Source organism: Homo sapiens, chromosome 11, assembly GCF_000001405.40.
Source record: "Homo sapiens chromosome 11, GRCh38.p14 Primary Assembly".
Classification (NCBI taxonomy): Eukaryota; Metazoa; Chordata; class Mammalia; order Primates; family Hominidae; genus Homo; species Homo sapiens.
The window spans coordinates 106949584-106974429 of record NC_000011.10 but is presented as its reverse complement, the minus strand read 5'-3'; the positions used below and the strand labels follow the sequence as shown (position 1 = coordinate 106974429).

General features: G+C 38.2%; 1 protein-coding gene across 2 annotated transcripts in view, besides 1 other annotated feature; it reads left to right on the top strand.

The window, feature by feature from the left end:
- Positions 1–24846, top strand: part of GUCY1A2 (guanylate cyclase 1 soluble subunit alpha 2) — a 344458-nt gene that overhangs the window by 44047 nt on the left and 275565 nt on the right. The window lies entirely within an intron of this gene.
- Positions 16689–17293: an enhancer, noted in NCBI's record as "H3K27ac-H3K4me1 hESC enhancer chr11:106827863-106828467 (GRCh37/hg19 assembly coordinates)". NCBI's record gives its function as "activates a minimal SCP1, AML or CMV promoter by ChIP-STARR-seq in naive and primed H9 embryonic stem cells {active_cell/tissue: H9 hESC(naive and primed)}" and the evidence as "EXISTENCE:reporter gene assay evidence [ECO:0000049][PMID:30033119]".

Here is a 24846-nt window from a genome sequence, read left to right as displayed (position 1 = left end):
GTCATAAAATTGTGAAGAATTAGCTTAAGGTTAGGTTAAGACTAACTTGGAGATTTTCTGGGAATAACTCTAAATAATATAATTGTTTAGTAGATAAGAATATGTTTAACATATTTGTTATCTTGGAGAACTAGTTAGTGTAGTAACAACTTACCATATTTATTGGTGAGTTAAGATTAATAGCAATAAATAACTTCTGCCATTATAGTTCTTGTTACTATAACTTGGTAACTGATCAATTTCCTCTTTCATTAAAAGTAAATATTTTCAGTATTTTACTAGAATGAATTGGAATTAAGGCGGTTGAAGGGGAAATAACTTAATAATGTTACTATAATGTAGTGATTTAGAGCAAGACTGGAGCCAGACTACTTGGGTTGAAAATGCATCTCAGCTACTTACTAGCTGCACGAACTGGAATGATTTACTTCATCTTTCCTTACCTCATATTTCTTATTTGCAAAATGGAGATAATATAATTGCACACTTCCTAGAGTTGCCAAGACGATTAAATGAGTTAATTTATATCAAGTACATACTTAGAACAGCATGGTATATAACAAACAAATGGAACATGAATGTTTGCTTTTATTATTATTGAGTATTCCCCAAATAATGTTTGCATCAGATGCAGAAGGTTTGCTTACTTTTTTAGGTGAGAAAACTGATACTTTGCAAGGTTAACTAACTTGTTGATATCTTTGGTCAGAGTTAACAAGCCACAGAGGCAGAATTTAAATTCATTTCAGTCTGATTCCAAACCTCATGTTCTTCTCATTACTTTGTGCTGCCTTCCAGAGTTGTTGACTGTGTCATCACTCCTCTGATGCTAATTACACACCACCTTTCCAGTTCTCTGAATTCTTAGAATCGTCATGATGTCACATTTTGCTTAGTGCTTTGCTCTTTCAAATGTACTTGGGATACTTGCTTGTATGAGACAAACTTCTTGTCAGTATTGAGGAAAGTTCAGTTGTGTTGCAATTTGGATCATTTCAGTTTAGAAACTAGGATTGTTCTTTAGATTTTAGGTGTTGAAAATGCTAACTAAGGGTGATGGTGTTTCCCATCACAACACAAACGTGGTTTCATAGCTATGCTATAGTAAACACTGTGACAGTTTTTTTGCTCATATTTCAAGCTGATCTTGCTACGTAGCTGGCCTCATGTGTTAGACATCATTAGGCCAGCACAAAACCTGCAAAAAGGCTGTGTTTCTGATGTTGTTGATTTCTTTTAATGGAAAAGTTTAAGAATATCATCATATAATCTTATTAAACAATTCCTAAACAGAGACTTTAGGTAGTGGCTCTGTGTAAATTAGAGACAACTTCTGTATTCTGCTCTCTGCTTACATACTTTCCCTGAGATAGTTAGATACAGTAGATAGTCCTGAGAAAGAATGAGACCATTGTATATGGACACTGCTTCCTATATGTAAAGGATAAACACTATAATACAAACATATCCTTAAGTTATACAAGTCAGTTTTATAAGTTACAAGGATATTGAGTATGTAGCCTTTTCGCTGGCTTCTTTTGTTTAGAAGTGTGAATTTAAGACTAATCCATGTCTTTCACAGAGAGCTCATTCCTTTCCCACAACTGCCCTGAAAAATATTCCATTTAACATGTACCACAGTTTGCTTATCCATTCATTGATTGAAGGATACCTTGATTCTTTCCATTTTTGGTTATTGGATATTGAGTGGAATGTGGCATAGTTTCCCTCTTCTCCTAGATATTTTTTCTCTTTTAGGAACATCTTCTTCTGAATCTTGTGACAGACTATTTCCCATTTGTCCTGCTAAATTTCTCCAGACATAGCTTTTCTTTTTTGCTGGAAGAACATGGCAGTCCTTTTTCTTAATTTTAAATTTGTGTTTCTGTGTCTCTAAAGCATTGTTTCGCTATCACTAGCAGCTTTCTGTCTAGCACCTCTTCTTTGTGTGAAGGGAGAACAACCCTTCAGATTCCTAAATTCTTCAGGTTGTCTTTTGTTCTCTTTTCTGAACTCTTCAGTAGGTTGGTGTTTATTTTTCGTTTCCCTTTAAGTTTTTTTTAAATGAAGTTTTAATGTAGTTTTAGGTTTATAAAAAAGCTGTGAAGATAGCACAGAAAGTTATGATATATCCCACACCCATTTTCCCCATTTGACATCATACATTAATATGGTACTTTGGTCCCAATTTATAAAACAATATTGATAGGTTATTATTAACAAAATTCCATGCTTTATTTCAATATCCTTAGTTTTTAACCTTTTCCTGTTCCAGGATTTCATTTCACATTACATTTAGTTGACTTATCTCCATAGCTTCTCTTATCTATGACAATTTCTCAGACTTATGTTGTTTTTGATGACCTTGACAGTTTTCAAGTGTACTGGTCAGATCTTTTGTTTGTTTCCTGTTTGCTTTGGTATGTGGCAATATGCCCATCATTGGCCTGACATATGCCCATATTGTGTGTGTCTGTGTGTTCATAGTGTGTTTTGAGCACTTCCTTACTTCCCAGCACTATAAGATGTTCCAGACTCATCTTTCATACTTTCTGCCCCAGTTGTCTAGAATGAGCCATTTCTCTCAGGAGCCCTGATACCTTTTATTGGAGAATGGTATTGGAAACCATGACCTGGGCATTGGTTGTACTCATTGCTATTGGGGTGTTTTGCTTCTACGCCCTCTCAGCTGACAGAGCAAGAGAATATATGTGTGTAGACTAACTCATATATATATGCCCATCTATAAACATTTTTATATGTATTCATCATATGCTAAATATGAGTTAATACTGATGTCTCCAACTTTACTCCATTACCATATGGATCATTCTAACCTTTCCCTCTTGCTTGTCTATATCCTTCTTTCTAACAAGGAGAAACCTGACTCCCTTTAGCCATCCATTTACTGAATTCTTCAATTCCAGTGTACGTTTATAGTTGTTTCAGAATTGTTAACAGAAACTCCCAGGGGAAACAATTTTATCAACTAAAATACAGTGCCTATGGGCAGTTTGGGAGTATGTAGTTATGTATAAAGCTTTATAGTGTCCACTCATATCCAGGGTTACTTAGGTAAGCACCTTTCTACCCCACCACTTCCAGTAAGATTTTTTTCATATATTTGTAATACAGCTAGATTCTTTTATTATAGTCTTCCATCCTGTGATACTTTGACCTCCTAAACACACACACACACACACACACACATTTAAATTTGTATACAGTAAGTTTAGCTCTTCTGCTGTAAAGTTCTATGGGTATTGAAAAATGCATAATGTCATATAACTGCCATTATAACATCATACCAAATACTTGCACTCTTCTAAAAAAAATCCCGTGTTTCACTTGTTCAACCGCATGTCACCTCCAAATCCCTGGCAAGTACCGATCTGTTTGCCATGCTATAGTTTTGCCTTCACCAGAGTGTCATATAAATGTAATCATATAGTATATAGCCTTTTCACTGGCTCCTTTTGTTTAGAAATGTGAATTTAAGATTAATCCATGTCTTTGGCAGAGAGCTCATTCCTTTCCCCCCACCCCCCTGAAAAATATTCCATTTAACATGTACCACAGTTTGCTTATCCATTCATTAATTGAAGGATACCTTGGTTCCTTACATGTTTGGTTATTATGAATTAACTGCTATAAAACATTCACTTGCAAGTTTTTATGTAGACTACATTTTCAAATCAGTTAGGTAAATACTTAGGAGTGCAATTGTTGGACTATGTTTAACCTTGTAAGAAACTGTCAAAGTGTCTTACAAAGTGGCTGAGCCATTTGCCTTTCCAAAAGCAATGAATGAGACTTCCTATTGCTCTTCATCCTTTCCAGAAATTGGTATTTTCCATTTTTTAGATTTTAGCCATTCTAATACATGTGCCTTCCTCCTTGAAGTTTTAATAAACAAAAGCAGCACCTGTTATCTCTTTATAATTTCTGCATATACCAATTATAATTAAGAATTTTGTTTTCTGGTTTTGTCATTCTAAATACTTTTCCTGATATTATGACTGAATTTAGAAACTGCTTAAAAATTTATTAGTGATAGCAATGATTGCCCATGATACTACTGTAATAGGTAGACTCTTTCTCTTTTGCTTAGTAACAATAAGTTCCTGGAATGAAGTTATTCAGCATTTATTCACTGGGAAATGAAATATTTTAGGAATTTCAGTGTAACTTTGAGGTGATATAACCAACAGGGTCCCATTTGTTGAAGGTGTTGAAATATAAGATGTCCACAAATGGTCTTTGTTAATATCGTTATGCTCTCCTAACCCCCAGCTTGCCTGAGTTAAGATTCCTTTCAACACTATCAACAGCCAGTGAGTCAAACTCACTTAACTAAAGCTCCTTTACTCAATACATTCTCATAACAAAATTCTCAAATTTCTTAGAAACTCTTCTATTTTTGTTTTCTCAAAGATAGTATTACTGCCATTTAAAATCTGCAAAACTCCTTAGTTGGATAAAACAAAACAGAACAAAACAAAAACACTTAGCTCTGACTTGGAGCAGAAGAAATGGAAGCACAGCTAGGTCAGGCTGCTTGCATGGGGTCACACCATTAGCCTCTGGGGAGGGCAGTGTTTGAACTATGAGGCTGTGATGGTAGAGCCTGCTACATTACTTATTGACCCCTCAACTGCTTCTGTTACCAAACAGTAATTGTTATTATTGCTTTTTCTCTGAGTTAGAAGGAAGATTATTCTTCCCTTACTATGTGAGAAACATGATTGTGGGCCTGTAATCACTTCATATGTCAAACTCATAGCTTATTTTGTTGCCATCTCATGGAGCAGATTTATAGTGACTTGTCACATTTGCTTTTTGAAATACTGTTTTTTTTTGTCTTTATTTCTTTGAATCTTTTAGCTCAAGTGAGCATACCACCTTCCTTTCTCCCCCAACCCTTTTCTTTTGTGTTAGAAGACTTTTGTTAAGTAAATGAATTATTTCCCATTCATGAGGCTGATGTTTTTGTCCATTGTGTTATCTCTCTGCTTTCATTGTTCTTTGATGCATAACTCTGACTCAACTACAAATTTTAATAGCATTCTGTTTAATTCTTCTGACAGTTAGTGAAAATTTAAGTAAGATTAGAGTTAAATTCAAACATCCTGGGTTCTATGCTAGATGAGTTGTTGTTCTTACTAGTCTTGAGTTCGGTTCTTCAGTCAATTTTAAGTACTTTTGACAGCATTTCTATTGTAATTTATTTAAATTAATCTGATGAGTAGAGTTTTATGTGTCACAATAAAGATGTTACTTAAATTAAGACATTTTATATATGGTAAATTCCCCTTATGATCCCACTGTTAGTCCCATTTTTCAAAAGCAAAAATATTAATCTCTTATTTTCTTTGAGTCTGCTCAGTTAAAGATTTCCATATGTTAAATTTTCCATCAGGGTAGCTATGGACTCTTATGTATCATGGGTGATTTTTATAGGTGTTTTGGAGTGCTCTTTTCCCATTTCTGTTACTCATAGTAGTACCTAAAGTGACATCTTTTCAAATCTAATAAGTTTGAGACCAAACTTCCAATTCCTGGTCTGTTGTGGTTTTTTCCTATATTTCCACAAAGTCTGATCTTAACCTTGAGAAATGGTAAGTTTTCTAGTATGAAGAAAGAAGTTGTAGATAGGATCAGGTTGGGTAGAGAGATTGTTGGGTGGTAGGGAATGGTATGGGATGTGAGGACTAGGCTTCATTTCCCAGGTAGAAAAGGGCAGTTAGAAGAACCAGTGTAGGTCCCCACAGAAGACATGACTCATTGATGGAATGGAGGGAGAACCTCCAGTGTTGGTAACAGGCATGAAAATAAACTGGTAGAGCATATATAGAAGTCAACTAAACAAGAAACGCATGTGATTTTCATAAGCAAGGATACTGAAGTAATTCCTGACTCCTACATAATGGTCAGGATTGAACATTGTCCAGAGCCAGATAAGTAAAAGAGGAAAAACCAACTCTGAAAATATCAATTTTAATTTTGATATTTATACATTTATGCTTTTATTCTTCCTAGGGAAATATGATTGCATTATTGATTTGAATCCTAATCCCAAAAATGCTTATGTCTATGCTAGACTCTAGATCAGTGGACCTTACATTCCACAAGTGATTGTACAGTAGGATCATCGAGAGACATTAAGAAATAAAAGAGGCCTATAGACATGATACCCAGATATTTTGATTAATCATATCTAGGGCAGAGACCAGAACTTTGTATTTTAAAAATACATTCTCTAGATAATTTTAGTATGCACCCATGACTTTTAACAATTTAACTCCAAGGCTAATCCTGCTCTTGGGCAAGGATGCTTAAGAAACTGTAGTCAATTCTTAGGATATTTGATACCAAGTCACCTCTACTGTTAGTTGGTACTTTAAAATCCTGTGTTTCTTTCTGTCTTATTTCTGAAAGTGGGTTGTTGCCTTGTACTCCACTCAATTCTTTTGACTTATTCCTACTTCTCTTCAGGACTTTAGTTCTATTTCTGAATCCCACACAGGAACTGGTGCTCTGCTTTCATTCATTGCTTTTTGTCTTCCAGATACATGCTTAATGTCTCTTGCTAGATGCTCTGTATTTATCTTTTGCTAGATGTTCTGTATTTATCCCTCCCTCCCTCCCTTCCTGCTTCCCTCCCTCCTTGCTTCCTTCCCTCCCTCCCTCCCTCCCTCCTTTCCTCCCTTCATTCCTTCCTTCCTTCCTGCCTCCCTTTTGCCTTTTCTGTATCTCTTTGCCAAATCTCCTTCATGCTGATAACTGCTGGCTTAGATTACTGGCTTAGACTGCCATCATTTGCATCACCCAATTAGAATATCATATTTTTTTCTGATTTTCTCCTGTTTATGTATAAGTGGGCATACCTAGTTCTAGATAAATCCCTCCCTTTATTCATCCCATGTCATTAATTCCACAATGACATGCAATAGGGTTTTGTTCAAACTAATGTCAGAAATAGTGGGTCATGCATTGTTTTCATAAAATGCCTGGTTACTGCTAGATTTTTTTACTTGAGAGCTTTAGATAACACTTTCCTGTCCACTATTACTATTGTTAGGATCAGAAATCCTATTAATTCCGAGAGGACAGTGTTACCCTAGGGAGAAAATAAAGTGGGCAATAGAATTTGTTGCTGCAATAGGAAAGGGAAGTTTATACTTGTCTGTGAGCTTTCATAAAGCAGAGTCATTTTAGGATCTTTGCGAAGAAGATATCAAGGGATTTCAGCCAGAGAACAAGCAGAACAGTGACAAATGATCCTGACTCTTGTGAGTTACTCCACTGAGCGATTAGTGCCCAGGAAAACGTTGACTGAAAATACCCAATTGCCATAATTTTTCTGCTTTTCATTCTCTGTCTTCTGGTTCTGTGTACTTCCCCACACCATTTTATGAGACTTCATTCACCTCTTCATTCACTTCTAGTACCTCAGACTGTTTTTCATTAACCTCTTTTTTTTGGTTTGTTTCTATAACCTTTCTATTTTCATTATTCTTATTCTCAATCTTACATTTTAATAAAAAGCAACAATTCAAATCTGCCAAACGTGTTTACTTCTCTTAATTTGTCAGTACATTTTTGCTTTAGTGCTATTTTTAAGCTTAATATTCCAGTTGCCAAATTTAGTAGTCAAGCAACTCTAACTTACTGCAAATTTATACAATTTCTTTAATTCAGAGCTCTAAATGATCACTAGGGTTTCAGCTGGACTAGTATATTGTTATATTAACTGCAGGAAAAGATTGATTAATCCACAGACGTCTGTATATAATATTGTGGAGGAAATATTTGCCCTATTAAAGGAATAGTTTTTAAGTACTTTGTTCCATCAATACAAATATTTATTGAATATTTTGTATTTTTGGGTACTGTTCTAGGTACTGGTGATCATCAGGGAGAAAACAGCAAGTGGGCAGCCAGGCAGTAAAAAACTACAGACAAGTAACAAATACGAAAACTTCAGAGTGATGCATGCTGTGAAGAAAAATAAGACAATGGGGCCGGGCGCGGTGGCTCATTCCTGTAATCCCAGCACTTTGGGAGGCCAAGGTGGGTGGATCACCTGAGGTCAGGAGTTCGAGTCCAGCCTGGCCAACATGGTGATAACCCCATCTCTACTAAAAATATAAAAACTAGCCAGGCCTGGTATGGGCACCTGTAATCCCAGCTACTCAGGAGGCTGAGGCAGGAGAATTGCTTGAACCCAGGAGGCAGAGGTTGTAGTGAGCCGACATGGTGCCACTGCACTCCAGCCTTGGCAACAGAGTGAGACTCTGTCTCAAAAAAACAAAAAAGAAAAGAGAAGAAAAATAAGCCAGTGGAATGTAAAAGAGTGTGAAGGGCTTAAATAATATGTTAACGATAATATTCTTAAATCCATTTAAGCAACTCATAGGATTTCTATATGACTGTAGTATTTGTGCTGTTTCACTGATATTTCTGGATTTAGAGCTCCAGAAATGAACTTTTTTTTTTTTTTAACCTTCACTTTAATATGGAGGAGGTTGAGGTTAATGAAAGTTCTGGTTTCTCCACTGATGTCTGAGTAGCATTTGCTACTCTGGATTTATTTAAGATGAATGAAAGGAGACAGTGAGGCTGTAGCATTGTATTTTGGGCTAGACAAAGTCCCGAGTGGTGTTCATCATCCCACCAGTGTGTTTTGAATACCTCCATGTGCCAGGCCTGTGCTGGCCATGAAGATTTGAGAGTGAGTAAGGCTGATGTCGTCTCTGCTGTCCTGGCTCTGTCAGCATAGAAGCTAATGGGAAGGCCACATGGCAGGAGGTATAAAACTTTTCTACTCAGTGGACAGAATGCAAAGCTGCTTGAGTGTGACCACTAGAAGAGAGCCATCCCAAGAGAAGTGGAAGTAAAATCCACAAATCAAATGCATACTTAAGCTTTCTCTTGCTGTTGTTTTCTTTTTCTCCATATACACACACATACACATATATGCCTATATACATAAGTACATACATACACATACATGTATACATATGTATGTATACACATGTATAAATTATATATGCTTTACTATTTGTAAGGATTTTTCATGTATACTATTTTGTACCTTGCTAAAGTCTATAATTAGGTATTATTATTTCCATTTTACAGATGAAGGAATTAGACCCAGAGTGTAAGTACTTTACTCCAAATCGCTTAGCCAACAAATGCTTGCAGCTATATTTGAATATAGTTTTTTAAACTACAGGAAAGGAGTACCGCTCTTTTTACCATGTTGCATTTTTCTCTGTTTCCAAAAATAAGTGGTAATTGTGACACATCTTCCATTAAAAGAACCACCTCTGTTTCCTAAAAAAAAAACAACACCCTGTGTTTATGTATTAGTATATACTGCTACATGGTACTGTATGTTATTTTGGCCAACTCCCTGAATTAAAAAATATATATTTTTCTTTTTTTGAGATGGAGTCTTGCTCTGTCGCCCAGGCTACAGTGCAGTGGTGCAATCTCGGCTCACTGCAAGCTCTGCCTCCCGGGTTCATGCCATTCTCCTACCTCAGCCTCCCGAGTAGCTGGGACTACAGGTGCCCGCCACCACGCCCAGCTAATTTTTTCGTATTTTTAGTAGAGATGGGGTTTCACCGCGTTAGCCAGGATGGTCTCGATCTCCTGACCTCATGATCCGCCCGCCTTGGCCTCCCAAAGTGCTGGGATTACAGGCATGAGGCACCTCACCTGGCCAAAAATATTTTATAAATACCTTTTGCCAATGATTATTCTGTGTCTGTGCTGCCAGAGTGAGCACTGACAATATTTATTCTGGGTATGAAAGTATTTTTCTGACTCCAAATGAGAGATAGAAAAACAGATCTAGAGAGCAAGGGTTTTGAGCTGATAAAAATAGGAGGAACCCAGCTTATACTTCTATTAATGCACACTTCATGATGTGCTTCCTAATTGTTTACATGTCTTTCTCTTTGACTTGAATGTAGGTACCTAGTGGTCAGGTACCTACATTTAACTCTTTGGGGCCTATTTAACTCTTTGTAACCACAGCAGGAAGGCCAGAGGCCCTGGAGGGGTAGCTATCCAAGGATTATTGTTTGAAAGACAAATAAAGACTGAGGAGTATTCTTGAAGAAAGGAAACTAAAGACACAAGAAAAACAAATGCAAAGCATGATCCTGTACTGGATCTCGGACTAGGAAATAATACAACTATAAGGTATATCATTGGGACAATGAGCAAAATTTGAATATAGATTGTGGGTTAGAAGATAGTATTGTGTCAAAGTGTACATTTTTATACAAGGAAGTATTAGGGATGAAGGGGCATAATGTCTGCTACCTACTCTCAAATGATGTGTGGGTGTGTGTGTGTGTATACGTGTGTATGTGTGTGTGTAGCAAAAGAGAAGGGGGAATGAGAGAGAATAAGAAAGCAAATGGCACAAATTGTTCACAAATGGTGAAACGAGATGAATATGAGAATTTTTATACTATTCTTGCAACTTTTCTCTAAGTTTAAACTTATATCAAAATAAACATTTCCAAAAATGATTGAATAAAGTTAAAATATATTATAAGTCCAAAGGAACTTTGTTTTTATTGGGTTGTATCCCCAATTAAAAACAAACGGACATCACCACAAAACTAACTAAAATAACAAACATAAGTGAGTTTAAGAGTTTGCAGCGTATTTTTATGCTGCTATAAATTCCTAGTATCACCTATGAATGCATCAAATTCTATATAATTAGTGTCCAGATTGGAGTCTATCTGTGGAGTTTATTTTCCTTAAGTTTTGTTTTCTGTCTCCCTTATAACGTGATTTGGTGATATGGAGATTAAGGATGAAATTGGAATAGTGTCTGAACGTAGTCCCACTCTGTTTATCTCCTATTGCAGGGCAATTGATACCAGAATAGGTGATTGGTTCCTGTATGTTCCAGAACATTTCATTTCTTTCTTCTACACAGAAAAATATTGCTCAAGAATAAAATCACATTTTCAAAGAATAAAAGTAAAAATAAAACTGCTGACTACTTCTATTGCTTAAGGTACCGATTTTCATGGTACTATATTGAGTGACATCTATACACGGACATGTAGCTTTCTTCTTGTCATCCCTTTACTATTATGATAATTTTGGACTTCCCAAATACTTTCCTTGAATTCAGAAGCCTCATCAATCATTGACATATTCTCCTCTGTAGACTCTGATTTTTTTATTGCTTCCCTGACATTTTAAATAGCCAGTATGCATCATTTTTCATGGCCTGTCATCAGTCATTAGATAATATTGCAATGTGCTATCAAAGTATTTCTATATTTAGTAGCAGTACATTCTGTATCTCCATATAGCATTGTGTAGAATTAGTTACACAGGATCTTCACTTAAAGCAGGACATCACACTAAGTTGGTGTTTAGTGTTTACTGAACTAATAGGCGTGTAAAGTCAACTGTTTAGAAGATAATATAGCTGTACATGGTCAAAATTATTACCACTGCCTATATTTTTAAATTAATAACAGGTCAGAGCATAAGCACATGATGGATATTCATTTCCCTTTTTGTTGGAATAGACAAAAGATCAGTTTCAAAAATGGTGTTCATTTCAGATTATACATATATGTGTATATATATTTTATATATATATATAAATATATATAATTCCTTAAAACTTTAATTGTTGCATAAAAATACTGAGGCTTATGTAAATTATTCTCACATTTCAAATTTATTTGAAATTAAAAATTTTAAGCAAACATATGCAGGACATAATCAGGTATTCTGTCTATGTGATTTAACTCCCCCCACCTACTCCCACAATTCCTGCACACACTCATATACAGACTTTCATTTCTAGTTTTTTTTTTTTTTTGAGATGGAGTCTTGCTCTGTTGCCCAGGCTGGAGTGCTGTGGCATGATCTCAGCTCACTGCAACCTCTGCCTCCCGGGTTTAAGCGATTCTCCTGCCTCAGCCTCCCAAGTAGGTGGGACTACAGGCACATGCTACCACAAAAATATTTGTATTTTTTTTTTTTTTAAGTGGAGATGGGGTTTCACCATGTTAGCCAGGATGGTCTCGATCTCCTGACCTCATGATCCACCTGCCTTGGCCTCCCAAAGTGCTGGGATTACAGGCGTGAGCCACCACACCCAGCCCCATATACACATTTTCATGCTGTCATGGACCTCATAGTCCTGATCCTTTGGGAACAAAATTTTCAACTAAATAATAGAATGAATCTAGTCCTGTTAATAGGAGGCAAAAATTCAAGTAACAGTGGTATTCACTGACCATTGTTCCTGCTCTCACCTTAGTATAAATGTTGGGAAAATAGGAGGGATTTGTGGGATGGAGTAAATCTTGGTATCTCCACATAGGAACTTTATTGGACTTAACTTTATTCTTATTTGTCTAAGTCTTTGTTTGGATAGTTCTGAGTAGTGAAACAGGGATGTTAGTAGTCAGCTCTACAGACAGCAGAATTGAAGTCTATAGTCCAGTTGTTTAAAATGAAGATTGCCTACATTGGGAGATTTCTACTTAGAACAAGGTTACCATAGTCACAAGGCTGAAAAATTTCTCAAATATCTATTTGACTTCTAGGGCACCAAGCCAACTGATTCACTGTTAGTGGGATAGAAAAAAAACAAACTATGTAGACCTTTGACATTCTTCTGCAAGCTAGAAAGGAAATAGCAATAATATACTGGCAAGGCTAGGAATGTGCTGAGAAGAGAAAAGTCAGCTTGCTTCTTTAATTGTGACTCTTTTTTGAAGCACACTTAAGAAGCATTTTGAAAGGAATGTGGCATCTTTCATCATGTGTGAATTCAAGATCTTATAGCTTTGTAATATCTTTTTCCTGCCAAGTACTAGATTCGGTTGACCTTTTGGATAATGCATTTTTGTTTGCTTTCAAATATTGAGAAAGATCTTTCATATAACCTTCTGTTTTCCTTAGGAATTAAATAGTGTTGAGGGAATCTTAAAAGTTTATGGGAAAAAATAAAAGATCCACATTCAGACATCTTTGTTTTATATCTCTTTTAGCTCAGACAGCCCTAAGTCTACCTATTAAGCTATTTATAAGAATAAACTAAGTCTCTGGTGCTGTTTTCTTCCTGCTTCTGCTTGTGTTTTTAACATTCCTATGTCACATATTTTTCTTGCCTTCGTTCTCTAAGAAGTGGAGTGCCTTTGTTTGTTTATGACTCTGCAGTGGGGGCTGCTCTCCTTTGGGCATTTCAGGAGGGTGAGTGGCAGGACACAAGTTGGAATGAGCAAGGTGTGCTCACAATGCATTGAAGAGACTAGTCTAATCTGAGATGTGATTCTTGTTGGTGCATTATAAAAAATGAGCACAGGGAATGGTTCTTATGCTGTGTCTGCAGGATATGCCAGTGCATCTCACTAGATAAATTTTGTTCCACTTAGCATCCTTCCTTCCTCACTGTTCCCCAAATTTAAAGGTTTGGATTTTCACTAATATCGTCTAATCTCTGGCACTCCTTTCCATGAAATTGTGGTATGTGTCCTGGTGAGATAATTAGAAAATTGGTCTGTTGTTATCTAGTTGACTTGGTGCTTGTGTTGGCTGTTACTTTGTTCTTCCTTAACTCTTCTTTTTAGTCCCTTCTGTGCTAGCTTCTGTAGAAAAGAGGATTTAACATACTCACGTGCACTACCGCTGTTACCACCATCATTTTTGCTTTGGAATGGTGATGATTTAAGAACTTAAAACCAAAGGCTTACCAGTATCCAGTCCGTATTTTCTACATTATCTACATTTCCCCATTAATGAGCCCTCTTGAATTTAAATTAAAATGTAAAGGAACCTGAATATGCATTTATTCATTCAAATATCTATTCAACAAATATTTATTGCTCTCTAGATGCTGGCATTGTGTAGGTACTGATTTACTCAGCCAAGTACAGTAGAGTGCTGCACAAATTAATAGCAGACTACTCTGTTCTCCTTTTATTTTGGGCTTCTCAGGCATCCTGTGCTGAGTCTTGGATCAAAAACACAACAATACAGAAAATAATCTGTTCTAATTCCTTAGTGTTCCTGGTAATATATCTTACACTTGGACTTATGGCTTATAGTACTATATAAATTCTTAAGAACAATAGACTGAAATCCTTCATATCTTTATCTTAGTAATTGCCCATACCTGAGATTTAAAAAAAAAATTCAAAACAAGAAAAAACATGAAATAACAGCTTAGTGCTGTTTATTGAATGCTCCTATAAAAAGACAAAATATTGGCAACAACCAACAGTCCAACTATAAGGAAAGAGTCAGTTAAAATATGATAGCTCTGCTTAGAAGAATTTTAAGCAGCCACTTAAATGAGAACTATGTGGAAAGATTATGCTACAGCATGGGAAAATGTTTGCGATGTTGCTGTAGCTCTAGTTCCCCAGGAAACAGACTCCAACATGGAGATTTGCACTCAGACAGGCTCCTGGGCAGTGTGCTCAGGATCAGTGATCCCACCAGGCAAACTTCATTAGGTTTCAAGGCCTGAGAATGATCCTTTGTGGTTCTCAGCTCTGCCTTTTGGGTCATTCTCATGAAAGGTAGTAAGTACATGTTTGCAGCTGAGGAGTTTTACCAGACTGTTTCCCTGTGAGAATGTAAAGAAAGTAGATGGGGCAGAGGGAAAAATTGAATTGCTCTTGCAGAAGCCATCACAACAGAGGTCTCAGCTGATCTCTTCAGAATTGCCCCTGACTGGGGCAAGAAGGAGGTATCTTTTTGTTATGACTCCCCACTTTCCAAATGAACTATCTTTGAAAGCAGCTTCCCTTGCGGAGGCAGGTGGATCTTGAGCCGGCAGCTCTCTTCAGCTGAAGGCAATGCCTAGAGTCAGACTCAGTTGAGAGCTGACAGCTACAAACACTCCCAGTATCTGTTAGAGATGACAGATTATACAAAAAAGAAAACTTTATACATAAAGTGTTTGGGCATATCATGAACATTATGAATCCGAGTACATAAAATATGTGTGAGTATGCACAAAAACTGGAGGGGACACTGAAAAAATGAATATGGCTCTGTTACAAAAGAAAAGAGAAGCCATGAGAGCATAATCCTTTCACCAAATAAACAATGAAACCAAACAGATGATAGTTTCCTCTAAAATAATGAAAGAATTCATGTATATATTTTCCCCTCCTCACTCAATTTTAAAAGATGACCATTAAAAAAATTCTTTCAGGTCTCAGCCTTTCCCTTGTGTTTTATTTGTGGAATATGTTAGAGTGGGATAATGACATAATGACAAACATAGCTCAGTGTTCTGTGAGATCTACTTTGAGACCGTAACGAATATGAATAGTTGCTCCGCTTGGCATGCTTTTAATCTTTCCTAGGGTTGCCTCACCCACGATGCTAAAGAAGCAGTGCTTATGAGTTCAGTAAGTACATGCACCACTGATACTCATTTTCACGGCTCTACATTTCTTCCTTTTTCAGCTTAACATTTTATATATTCATGATCAAAATGGAATTGGGCATGAAAAATGTGAACGGCACAAGGCAAATAAATACAATACTAGAAAAACAGTTTGAGGTGTATATGCTAGTGAAGAAGAATAAACCTGAACATCTATTTTCCCAGGTTAGAGCACATATACACAAAAGACTGTAATCCTGGCATAAAAGTTTCTCATGTTAGCTCCCCTTATCTGAAATAGACTTCCTATTTCTCAACTGCTTTCTTATTTCCTTCCAAAGCATAACTCGTAGTATCCTTCCAAATCATACATACTGTGTGTGTGTTTCCTAGTGTACCCTTTTTTTTTTTTATATTAAACAGTTCTTTAAAGCTGCCTTTAATGCACTTGGAATTACTTCTTTGAAAAATACAAGATGAGAAAAGACAGGAGAACATGAGAACTATTTTCAGATACTTTAAAGGACTTCTGTGAGAAGAGGAGATTTGTTCAAATCACCACCTAGTATATGAGGGTATATTAGAACTAGTGGACTAAAATTATAGGAATAGATTTTGCCCCACATGCAAGAAGGAAGGAATTTTGTAATTACTGGAGATATTCAGTTTTGGAAGAGCAAGCTTCCTGAGCTGCTCATCAGGGTGCTGTTTAAGTAGAGGAAAGATGACTGTCTATGAGATCTGCTGTGTTTTGAGAGAGATTGGACTGGTTATCAGTCAAGTTCTCATGTACTTGATGGCTTCATGAATCAATGTTATACTAAATGGTGTATTCACAAATTCTGCTTTAAACAAATATATACGTAATCATAAGATTTCATCTTCCAGAAGTATAGAAGTATTAGCATTGCTTGTGAATGCTGTAAAAATGCTGTGATGCTACTGTAATAGCTACAGCATGGAAACACAATAACATACTAATTTCTGTCACTCTTAACATCTAATGCTGTTTGTCTAATGAAATACATTTTAGACCTTTGGCTAAGTATTTATTACCTAATTCAATAGGAAAATTGAAAAAAATTTTAGATTTCCATCAATTTCATTTCTTTACCACAACACCTTTTTTTTCTGAAAAAAAAAAAAAAAAAAAAAAAAAAAAAAAAAAGTTTGTCCCTTTGCTCAGACTGGACTGCAGCATAGCTCCCAACACTTGGTTGGAGCAGTTGAGGAGGGTGAATCACAATTTAGTGATTTAAAAAAAAAAGTGACCATTTTTTTTGGAGGCGGGGCCAAGATGGCCGACTGGAAGCTGCGTGTTCAGAGGCTCCCACTGGAAAAAAAATCTAAGCATGTGAATCCTTCATCAGCAACCAAGGTATTCAGGTTCTCTCGCCAAAATTGACAAGAAGGCTGGCCTGACCACAGAGAGAAGGAAGAGCAGTGTAGTGAGAAGGCCCACCTGAGAGCCACACGGGGAAGGGGAAGCCCCTTCCCCAAGCCAAAGGAGGCGGTGGTGAGTGAGTGCGCTAGGGAAACTGCTTTTTCCACAGAACCCTGCCACCCATGGATTGGAAGATCCCACTCGTGAACCCACGCCACCAGGGCCTAGCGTCCCAGCCTTGGAACATGCAGATTCTTACAGCCTCTCAGCTGGAGTCTGCTTAAGCCTATGGAACTCAGGAAGTGGGGGTTGCTGGTGGGGAGGGGGGAAGAAGAGGCAACCAGCACCAGCTGTGGCTGCCTGCTGTCTAAGCCATTTGAGCTCCTGGGGGGAGGGGCAAGAGTCAGCACTGGGACTTGCAACTGCCTAACACACTAAGCTCCCTGGGCAGGGTGGGCACACCCATTTCTATAGCTCCAGGCTGTACTTTCCCCTGCTAGAGCTAGAGCCAGGGAGGCTGGACGACTTGCTCCCAAGACTTGTCCCCACAGCCCAACACACCCTCTGTGGCAGTCTGCGGCTAGAGTGCCTCTTCAGGCCTAATCCCAACCCATCATTCCTCAGTGGGCGGGGCTTCCCTGCAGGATCTCCAATAACTCCAGCTAGAGGCTCGGGGACAGAATTCAGATCTCCCTGGGCCTGAGTCCCTAGGGAGAGGGATGGCCACAGTCTCTGGGGACCAGCAGACTTGCTGTCTCCTCTTGGTAGTTCTGAGAAATCCAGGCAGCTCAGATGAGTGGGTTTTCCCCTAGTGAAACATACCCTCTCCACCAAAGGACAAAGTGCTTCATTAAATGGGTCCTGCTCCCTGTGCCACCCGATTGGGTGAGACCCTCCAACAGGGGTTGTCAGACACCCTATACAGGAGTCATCCTACTGGCATCAGGTTGGTGCCTGTCGAGGTCAGAGGTCCCAGAAGAAGGAGCAGGCACCCATCTTTACTGCTCTCCAGACTCCTTGAATGACATCTCCAGGAACTGGAGCGAATCACATGAATACGACCTGAAGTGAACCCCTAGCAAACTGCAGCAGTCCTACAGAAGAGGGACCAATTATTGAAAGAAAAACAAGCAGAAAGTGACAACAGCATCAACAACAACAACAACAACAAAAAGGCCTCCACAAAAAACCCTATCCAAGGATCAGCAGGCTCAAAGACTGAAAGTAGACAAATTGAGGAAGGTAAGAAAGAATCAATGAAAAAATGCTGTAAACCCAAAAGGCCAGAGTGCTTCATCTCCAAATGATTACAATGTCAAGGGCACAGAACTGGAGGGAGGATCAGATGGACGGATTGACAGAAGTAGGCTTCAGAAGATGGATAATAAAAAACTATGATGAGCTAAAGGAGCTTGTTCTAACCCAATGCAACGAAGCTAAGAAACTTGATAAAAGGAATTGCTAACTAGAATACCCAGTTTAGAGAGAAACATAAATGACCTGATGGAGCTGAAAAACACAGCATGAGAACTTCACGAAGCATACACAAGTATCAACAGCCAAATTGACCAAGCAGAAGAAAGGCTATCAGAGTTTGAAAACTACCTTACTGAAATAAGACATGCAGACAAGAATAGAGAAAAAAGAATGATCAAAGTCTTCAAGAAGTATGGGACTTGATAAAAGGACAGAATCTGCGATTGATTGGAGTACCAGAAGGAGATGGAGAGAATGGAAACAAGCTGGAAAACACACTTCAGAATATTATCCAGGAGAACTTCCCCAACCTAGCAAGACAGGCCAACATGAAAATTCAGGAAATACAGAGAACATCATTAAGATACTCTGTAAGAAGATCAACCCCAAGACACATAATTATCAGTTTCTCCAAGGTCAAAAAAAGGAAAAACTGTTAAAGGTAGCCAGAGAGAAAGGCCAGGTCACCTACAAAGGGAAGTCCATCAGACTAACAGTGGACCTCTCAGCAGAAACTCTACAAGCCAGAAAAGATTGGGGGCCAATATTTAATATCTTAAATAATTTTCAACCCAGAATTTCACATCTAGCCAAACTGAGCTTCATAAGCAAAGGAGAAATGAAATCATTTCCAGACAAGCAAATGCTGAGGGATTTCATTACCACCAGTCCTGCCCTGCAAGAGCTCCTAAAAGAAGCACTAAATATGGAAAGGAAAAACCAGTACCAGGTACTGCAAAAACACAGCAAAATATAAAGACCAATGACACCATGAAGAAACTGCATCAACTATTATGCAAAATAACCAAATAGCATCATGTTGACAGAATCAAATTCACACATAACAATACTAATGTAAATGGGCTAAATGCCCCACTTAAAAGACAGACTGGGCCGGGCATGGTGGCTAACACCTGTAATCCCAACACTTTGGGAGGCTGAGATGGGTGGATCACCTGAGGTTGGGAGTTCAAGACCAGCCTGACCAACAAGGAGAAACCCCATCTCTACTAAAAATACAAAATTAGTTGGGCATGGTGGCACATGCCTGTAATCCCAGCTACTTGAGAGGCTGAGGTAGGAGAATTGCTTGAACCTGGGAGGTTGCGGTGAGCCGAGATCATGCCATTGCACTCCAGCCTGGGCAACAAGAGCAAAACTCTGTCTCAAAAAAAAGAAAAAAAAAAGACACAGACTGGCAAATTGAATAAGGAGTCAAGACCCATCTGTGTGCTGTATTCAGGAGACCCATCTTAAATGCAAAGACACACACAGCCTCAAAATAAAGGGATGGAGGAAAATTTACCAAGCAAATGGAAAGAAAAAAACAAGAAAGCAGGGGTTGCAATCCTAGTCCCTGACAAAACAGACTTTAAACAAACAAAAATACAAAAAGACAAGGGTATTATACAATGGTAAGGGGAAGAATTCAACAAGAAGAGCTAACTATTCTAAATATATATGTACCCAATACAGAAACACCCAGATTCATAAAACTAGTTCTTAGAGACCTGCAAAGAGACTTAAACTCCCACACAATAATAGTGGGAGACTTTAACACCCCACTCTCAGTATTAGATCAATGAGAGAAAAAATTAAAAAGGATATTTAGGAGTTGAACTCAGCTCTGGATCACGTGGACCTAGTAGACATTTACGGAACTCTCTACCCTAGATCAACAGAATATACGTCCTTCTCCTGTGCCACATGGCACTTACCCTGAAATTGAACACATATTTTGAAATAAAATACTCCTCAGCAAATGCAAAAGAACTGAAATCGTAACAGTTTCTTGGACCACAGTGCAATCAAATTAGAACTCAGGATTAAGAAACTCACTCAAAACGACACAATTTCATGGAAATTGAACAACTTGTTCCTGAATGACTCCCGGGTAAATAATGAAATTAAAGCAGAAATCAAAAAGTTTTTTGAAACCAATGACAAAGAGACAACATACCAGAATCTCTGGAACATAGCTAAAACAGTGTTAAGATGGAAATCTATAGCATTAAATGCCCACATCAGAAAGCTAGAAAGATCTCAAATTGACACCCTAACATCACAATTAAAAGAGTTAGAGAGGCAAGAACAAACTAATCCAAAAGGTAGCAGAAGACAAGAGATAACTAAGATCAGAGAAGAATTGAAGGAGATAGAGACATGAAAAACCTCCAAAAATCAATGAATCCAGGAGCTGATTTTTTGAAAAAATTAACAAAATAGATAGACCAATAGCTAGACTAATAAGAGAGAGAAGAATCAAGTAGACACAATAAAAAATGATAAATGGGATATCACCACTGACCCCACAGAAATACAAACTACCATCAGAGAATACTATAAACACCTTTACGCAAATAAACTAGAAAATCTAGAAGAAATGGATAAATTCCTGGACACATACACCCTACCAAGACTAAACCAGGAAGAAGTTGAATCCCTGAATAGACCAATAACAAGCTCTAAAATTGAGGCAGTAATTAATAGCCTACCAACCAAAAAAAAAAGCAAGGACCAGATGGATTCACAGCTGAATTCTACCAGAAATATAAAGAGGAGCTAGTACCATTCTTTCTAAAACTATTCTAAACAATTGAAAAGGAGGGAGTCTTCCCTAACTCATTTTATGAAGCCAGCATCATCCTGATACCAAAATTAGGAAGAGACACACAAAAAAGAAAACTTCAGGCCAATATCCCTGATGAACATCGATGCAAAAATCTTCAATAAAATACTGGCAAACTGAATGAGCAGCACATCAAAAAACTTATCCACCATGAGCAAGTGGGCTTCATCCTTGGGATGCAAGGCTGGTTCAACATATGCAAATGCATAAACATAATCCGTCAGATAAACAGAACCAAAGACAAAAAGCACATGATTATCTCAACAGATTCAGAAAAGGCCTTTGATAAAATTGAACATCGCTTCATGTTAACTCTCAATAAACTAGGTATTGATGGAACATATCTCAAAATAAGAGCTATTTATGACAAACCCACAGCCAATATCATATGGAATGGGCAAAAGCTAGAAGCATTCCTTTAAAAACTGGTACAAGACAAGGATGCCCTCTCTCACCACTCCTATTCAACATAGTATTAGAAGTTCTGGCCAGGGCAATCAGGCAAGAGAAAGAAATAAAGGGTATTCAAACAAGAAGAGAGGAAGTCAAGTTGTCTCTGTTTGCAGATGACATGATTTTATATTTAGAAAACCCTGGCTGGGTGCGGTGACTCATACCTGTAATCCCAGCACTTTGGGAGGCTGAGATAGGCAGATCACCTGAGGTCAGGAGTTCGAGACCAGACTGGCCAACATGGTGAAACCCTGACTCTACTAAAAATACAAAAATTAGCCAGGTGTGGTAGTGCACACCTGTAGTCCCAGATATTGGGAGGCTGAGGCAGGAAAATCACTTGAACCCAGGAGGTGGAGGTTTCAGTGAGCTGAGAGTGTACCAGCCTGGGCAATAGATCAAGACTCTGTTTAAAAAGAAAAAAAAAACCCTCATCATCTCAGCCCACAAACTTCTTGAACTGATAAGCAACTTCAGCAAAGTCTCAGGATGCAAAATTAGTGTGCAAAAATCACAGTCACTCCTTTACACCAATAATAGGCAAGCAGAGAGCCAAATCATGAATGAACTCCCATTCACAATTGCTACAAAGAGAATAAAATACCTAGGAATACAACTTTCAAGGGATGTGAAGACCTCTTCAAGGAGAACTACAAACCACTGCTCAAGGAAATAAGAGAAGACATAAACAAATGGAAAAAACATTCCATCCTCGTGGATAGGAAGAATCAATATCGTGAAAATAGCCATACTGCCCAAAGTAATTTACAGATTCAATGCTATTCACATCAAACTACCATTGACATTCTTCACAGAATTAGAAAAAATTATTTTAAATTTCATATGGAATCAAAGAAGACCCTGTATAGTCAAGACAATCCTAAGCAAAAAGAACAAAGCTGGAGACCTCATGCTACCTGACTTCAAAGTATACTACGAGGCTACAGTAACCAAAATAGCATGGTACTGGTACCAAAACCGACATATAGACCAATGGAGCAGTACAGAGACCTCAGAAATAACACCACATATCTGCAACCATCTGATCTTTGACAAACCTGACAAAAAACAAGCAATGGAGAAAGGATCTCCTATTTAGTAAATGGTACTGGGAAAACTGGCTAGCCATATGCAGAAAAGTAAAACTAGACCCCTTTCTTACACCTTATACAAAAATTAACTCAAGATGGATTGAAGACTTAAATGTAAAAACCCAAACCATAAAAACTCTGGAAGAAAACCTAGGCAATACCATTCAGGACATTGGCATGGGCAAAGACTTCATGACAAAAACACCAAAAGCAATTGCGACAAAATCCAAAATTGACAAGTGGGGTCTAATTAAACTAAAGAGCTTCTGCACAGCAAAATAAACTATCATCAGAGTGAACAGGCAACCTACAGAATGGGAGAAAAGTTTTGAAATTTTCTGACAAAGGGCTAATATCCAGAATTTACCGGGAACTTAACCATATTTCCAAAAACAAAACCAAACAACCCCATCATAAAGTGGGCAAAGGATGTGAACACACACTTCTCAAAAGAAGATATTTACATAGCCAACAATCATGAAAAAAAGCTCAACATCACTGATCATCAGAGAAATGCAAATGAAAAGCACAATGAGATACCATCTCACGCCAGTCAGAATGGTGATTATTAAAAAGTCAGGGAATAGTAGATGCTGGCGAGGCTGTGGAGAAGTAGGAATGCTTTTGTACTGTTGGTGGGAATGTAAATTAGTTCAACCATTGTGGAAGACAGTGTGGCGATTCCTCAAGGATCTAGAACCAGAAATACCATTTGACCCAGCAACCCCATTACTGGGTATATACCCAAAGGAGTATAAATGATTCTACTATAAAGACACATGCACATGTATGTTTATTGCAGCACTGTTTACAATAACAAAGATATGGAACCAACCCAAATGTCCATCAATGATAGACTGGATAAAGAAAATGTGGTACATATACACCATGGAATAAAATGCAGCCATAAAAATGAGTGAGATCATGTCCTTTGCAGGGACATGGATGAAGCTGGAAGCCATCGTTCTCAGCAAACTAACACAGGAACAGAAAACCAAACACTGCATGTTCTCACTCATAAGTGGGAGTTGAACATTGAGAACACATGGTCACAGAGAGGGGAACAACACACACCATGGCCTGTTGGAGGGTGAGGGGTGAGGTCAGGGAACTTAGAGGATGGGTCAATAGGTGCAGCAAACCACCATGGCAAGCGCATACCTATGTAACAAACCTGCACGTTCTGCACATGTATCCCATTTTTTTAGAAGAAATTTAAAAAAGTGACCATTAAAGAGGCATTGGCATTGATTAACAGCTCTGAGTAAGCCCTCCGAGGATCGGTCCATGTGGAAATCATGCTTTCCTGCTGCCTCTTCTGTGGCCGCCAATTTGAACAGGGCTAGTCATCATCAGCAAAAGCCAGAATCTATGTACGTCACAGTAATCCCCTCCCCCACCTTCTTCACCAGCGGGTAAGAGACTGGTAAAAAGTAAAGGCGTGAGAAGTGATGAGAATACTTATCTGCAGGGAGATTCCAAATCTTGGGAGCCACTGCCCTATTTTCAGTGTGGCAGATTGCATTCCAGAATAAGGGGCCAGGTGTGGGCACAGAGCTGAAGCAGGTGCTCCTGCAGCTCCTCTTTGTAATTAGCTCATGTCTGCTCATTCTTTGACTCTGCACCTTACTGCTGCTGGGCTGCTGCTGGGCTGCTGCTGGCTTTGTGTCTTCTCTGGCAATATGCCAGGGTGCTGAAGAAGGAAGGCTGGGGAATGTGATGAGCCCTTTGTCACCTGCCAGGTTGCCAGCATCTGATAGCAGGCATAGCACAGTGGCCTGAGAAGGCTGCCTGATTAGACATGTGCTTCCCTGAACCTGTCCCCTTCTTAGCACTCAACACCTGTGGCTCCTTGTTGGCAAAGGAACAAGAATTTGTCAAACAATAAGCATTCACACCTATTAAATTAGTCATTTGGCATAACTTGCCCAAGCTTGTGATAAAAGGCCTGCCAGTGAATACTGAAGGGTACAAAATATAGCAATGGAAAAATCATGTATGCACACATATGAATTTCTATCACTACATATATTATGCCTGGACATATGATCAGTCACATCCAGATGTATTTGTTTTCATTAATCCATTGGTTTTATATTCATTCTTTTATAGATTCACCACAGACAAGGCACGGTACCAAAGATTAGGGTTACTATAGTGGTCTTCATTTAGTTTCTCTAAAACTCCATAGTTTGTCTTTCTGGACCTTAGCATATATGTTTCTTCAGTCTGGAATGGTTTCCTTCCTCCCCTATCTATCTACTCTTTTTTGGTGGCCTAGTTGACATTTCCTTTTTCTTCTTCAAGAGGTTAAGTCTGGTTGAGGGATTGGACACATTAGCAGCTATTGTGTGGGAAATATTAGGCTGGGGGTAATCACAAGGTGCTTTGGAAGCCTAACAAGTAG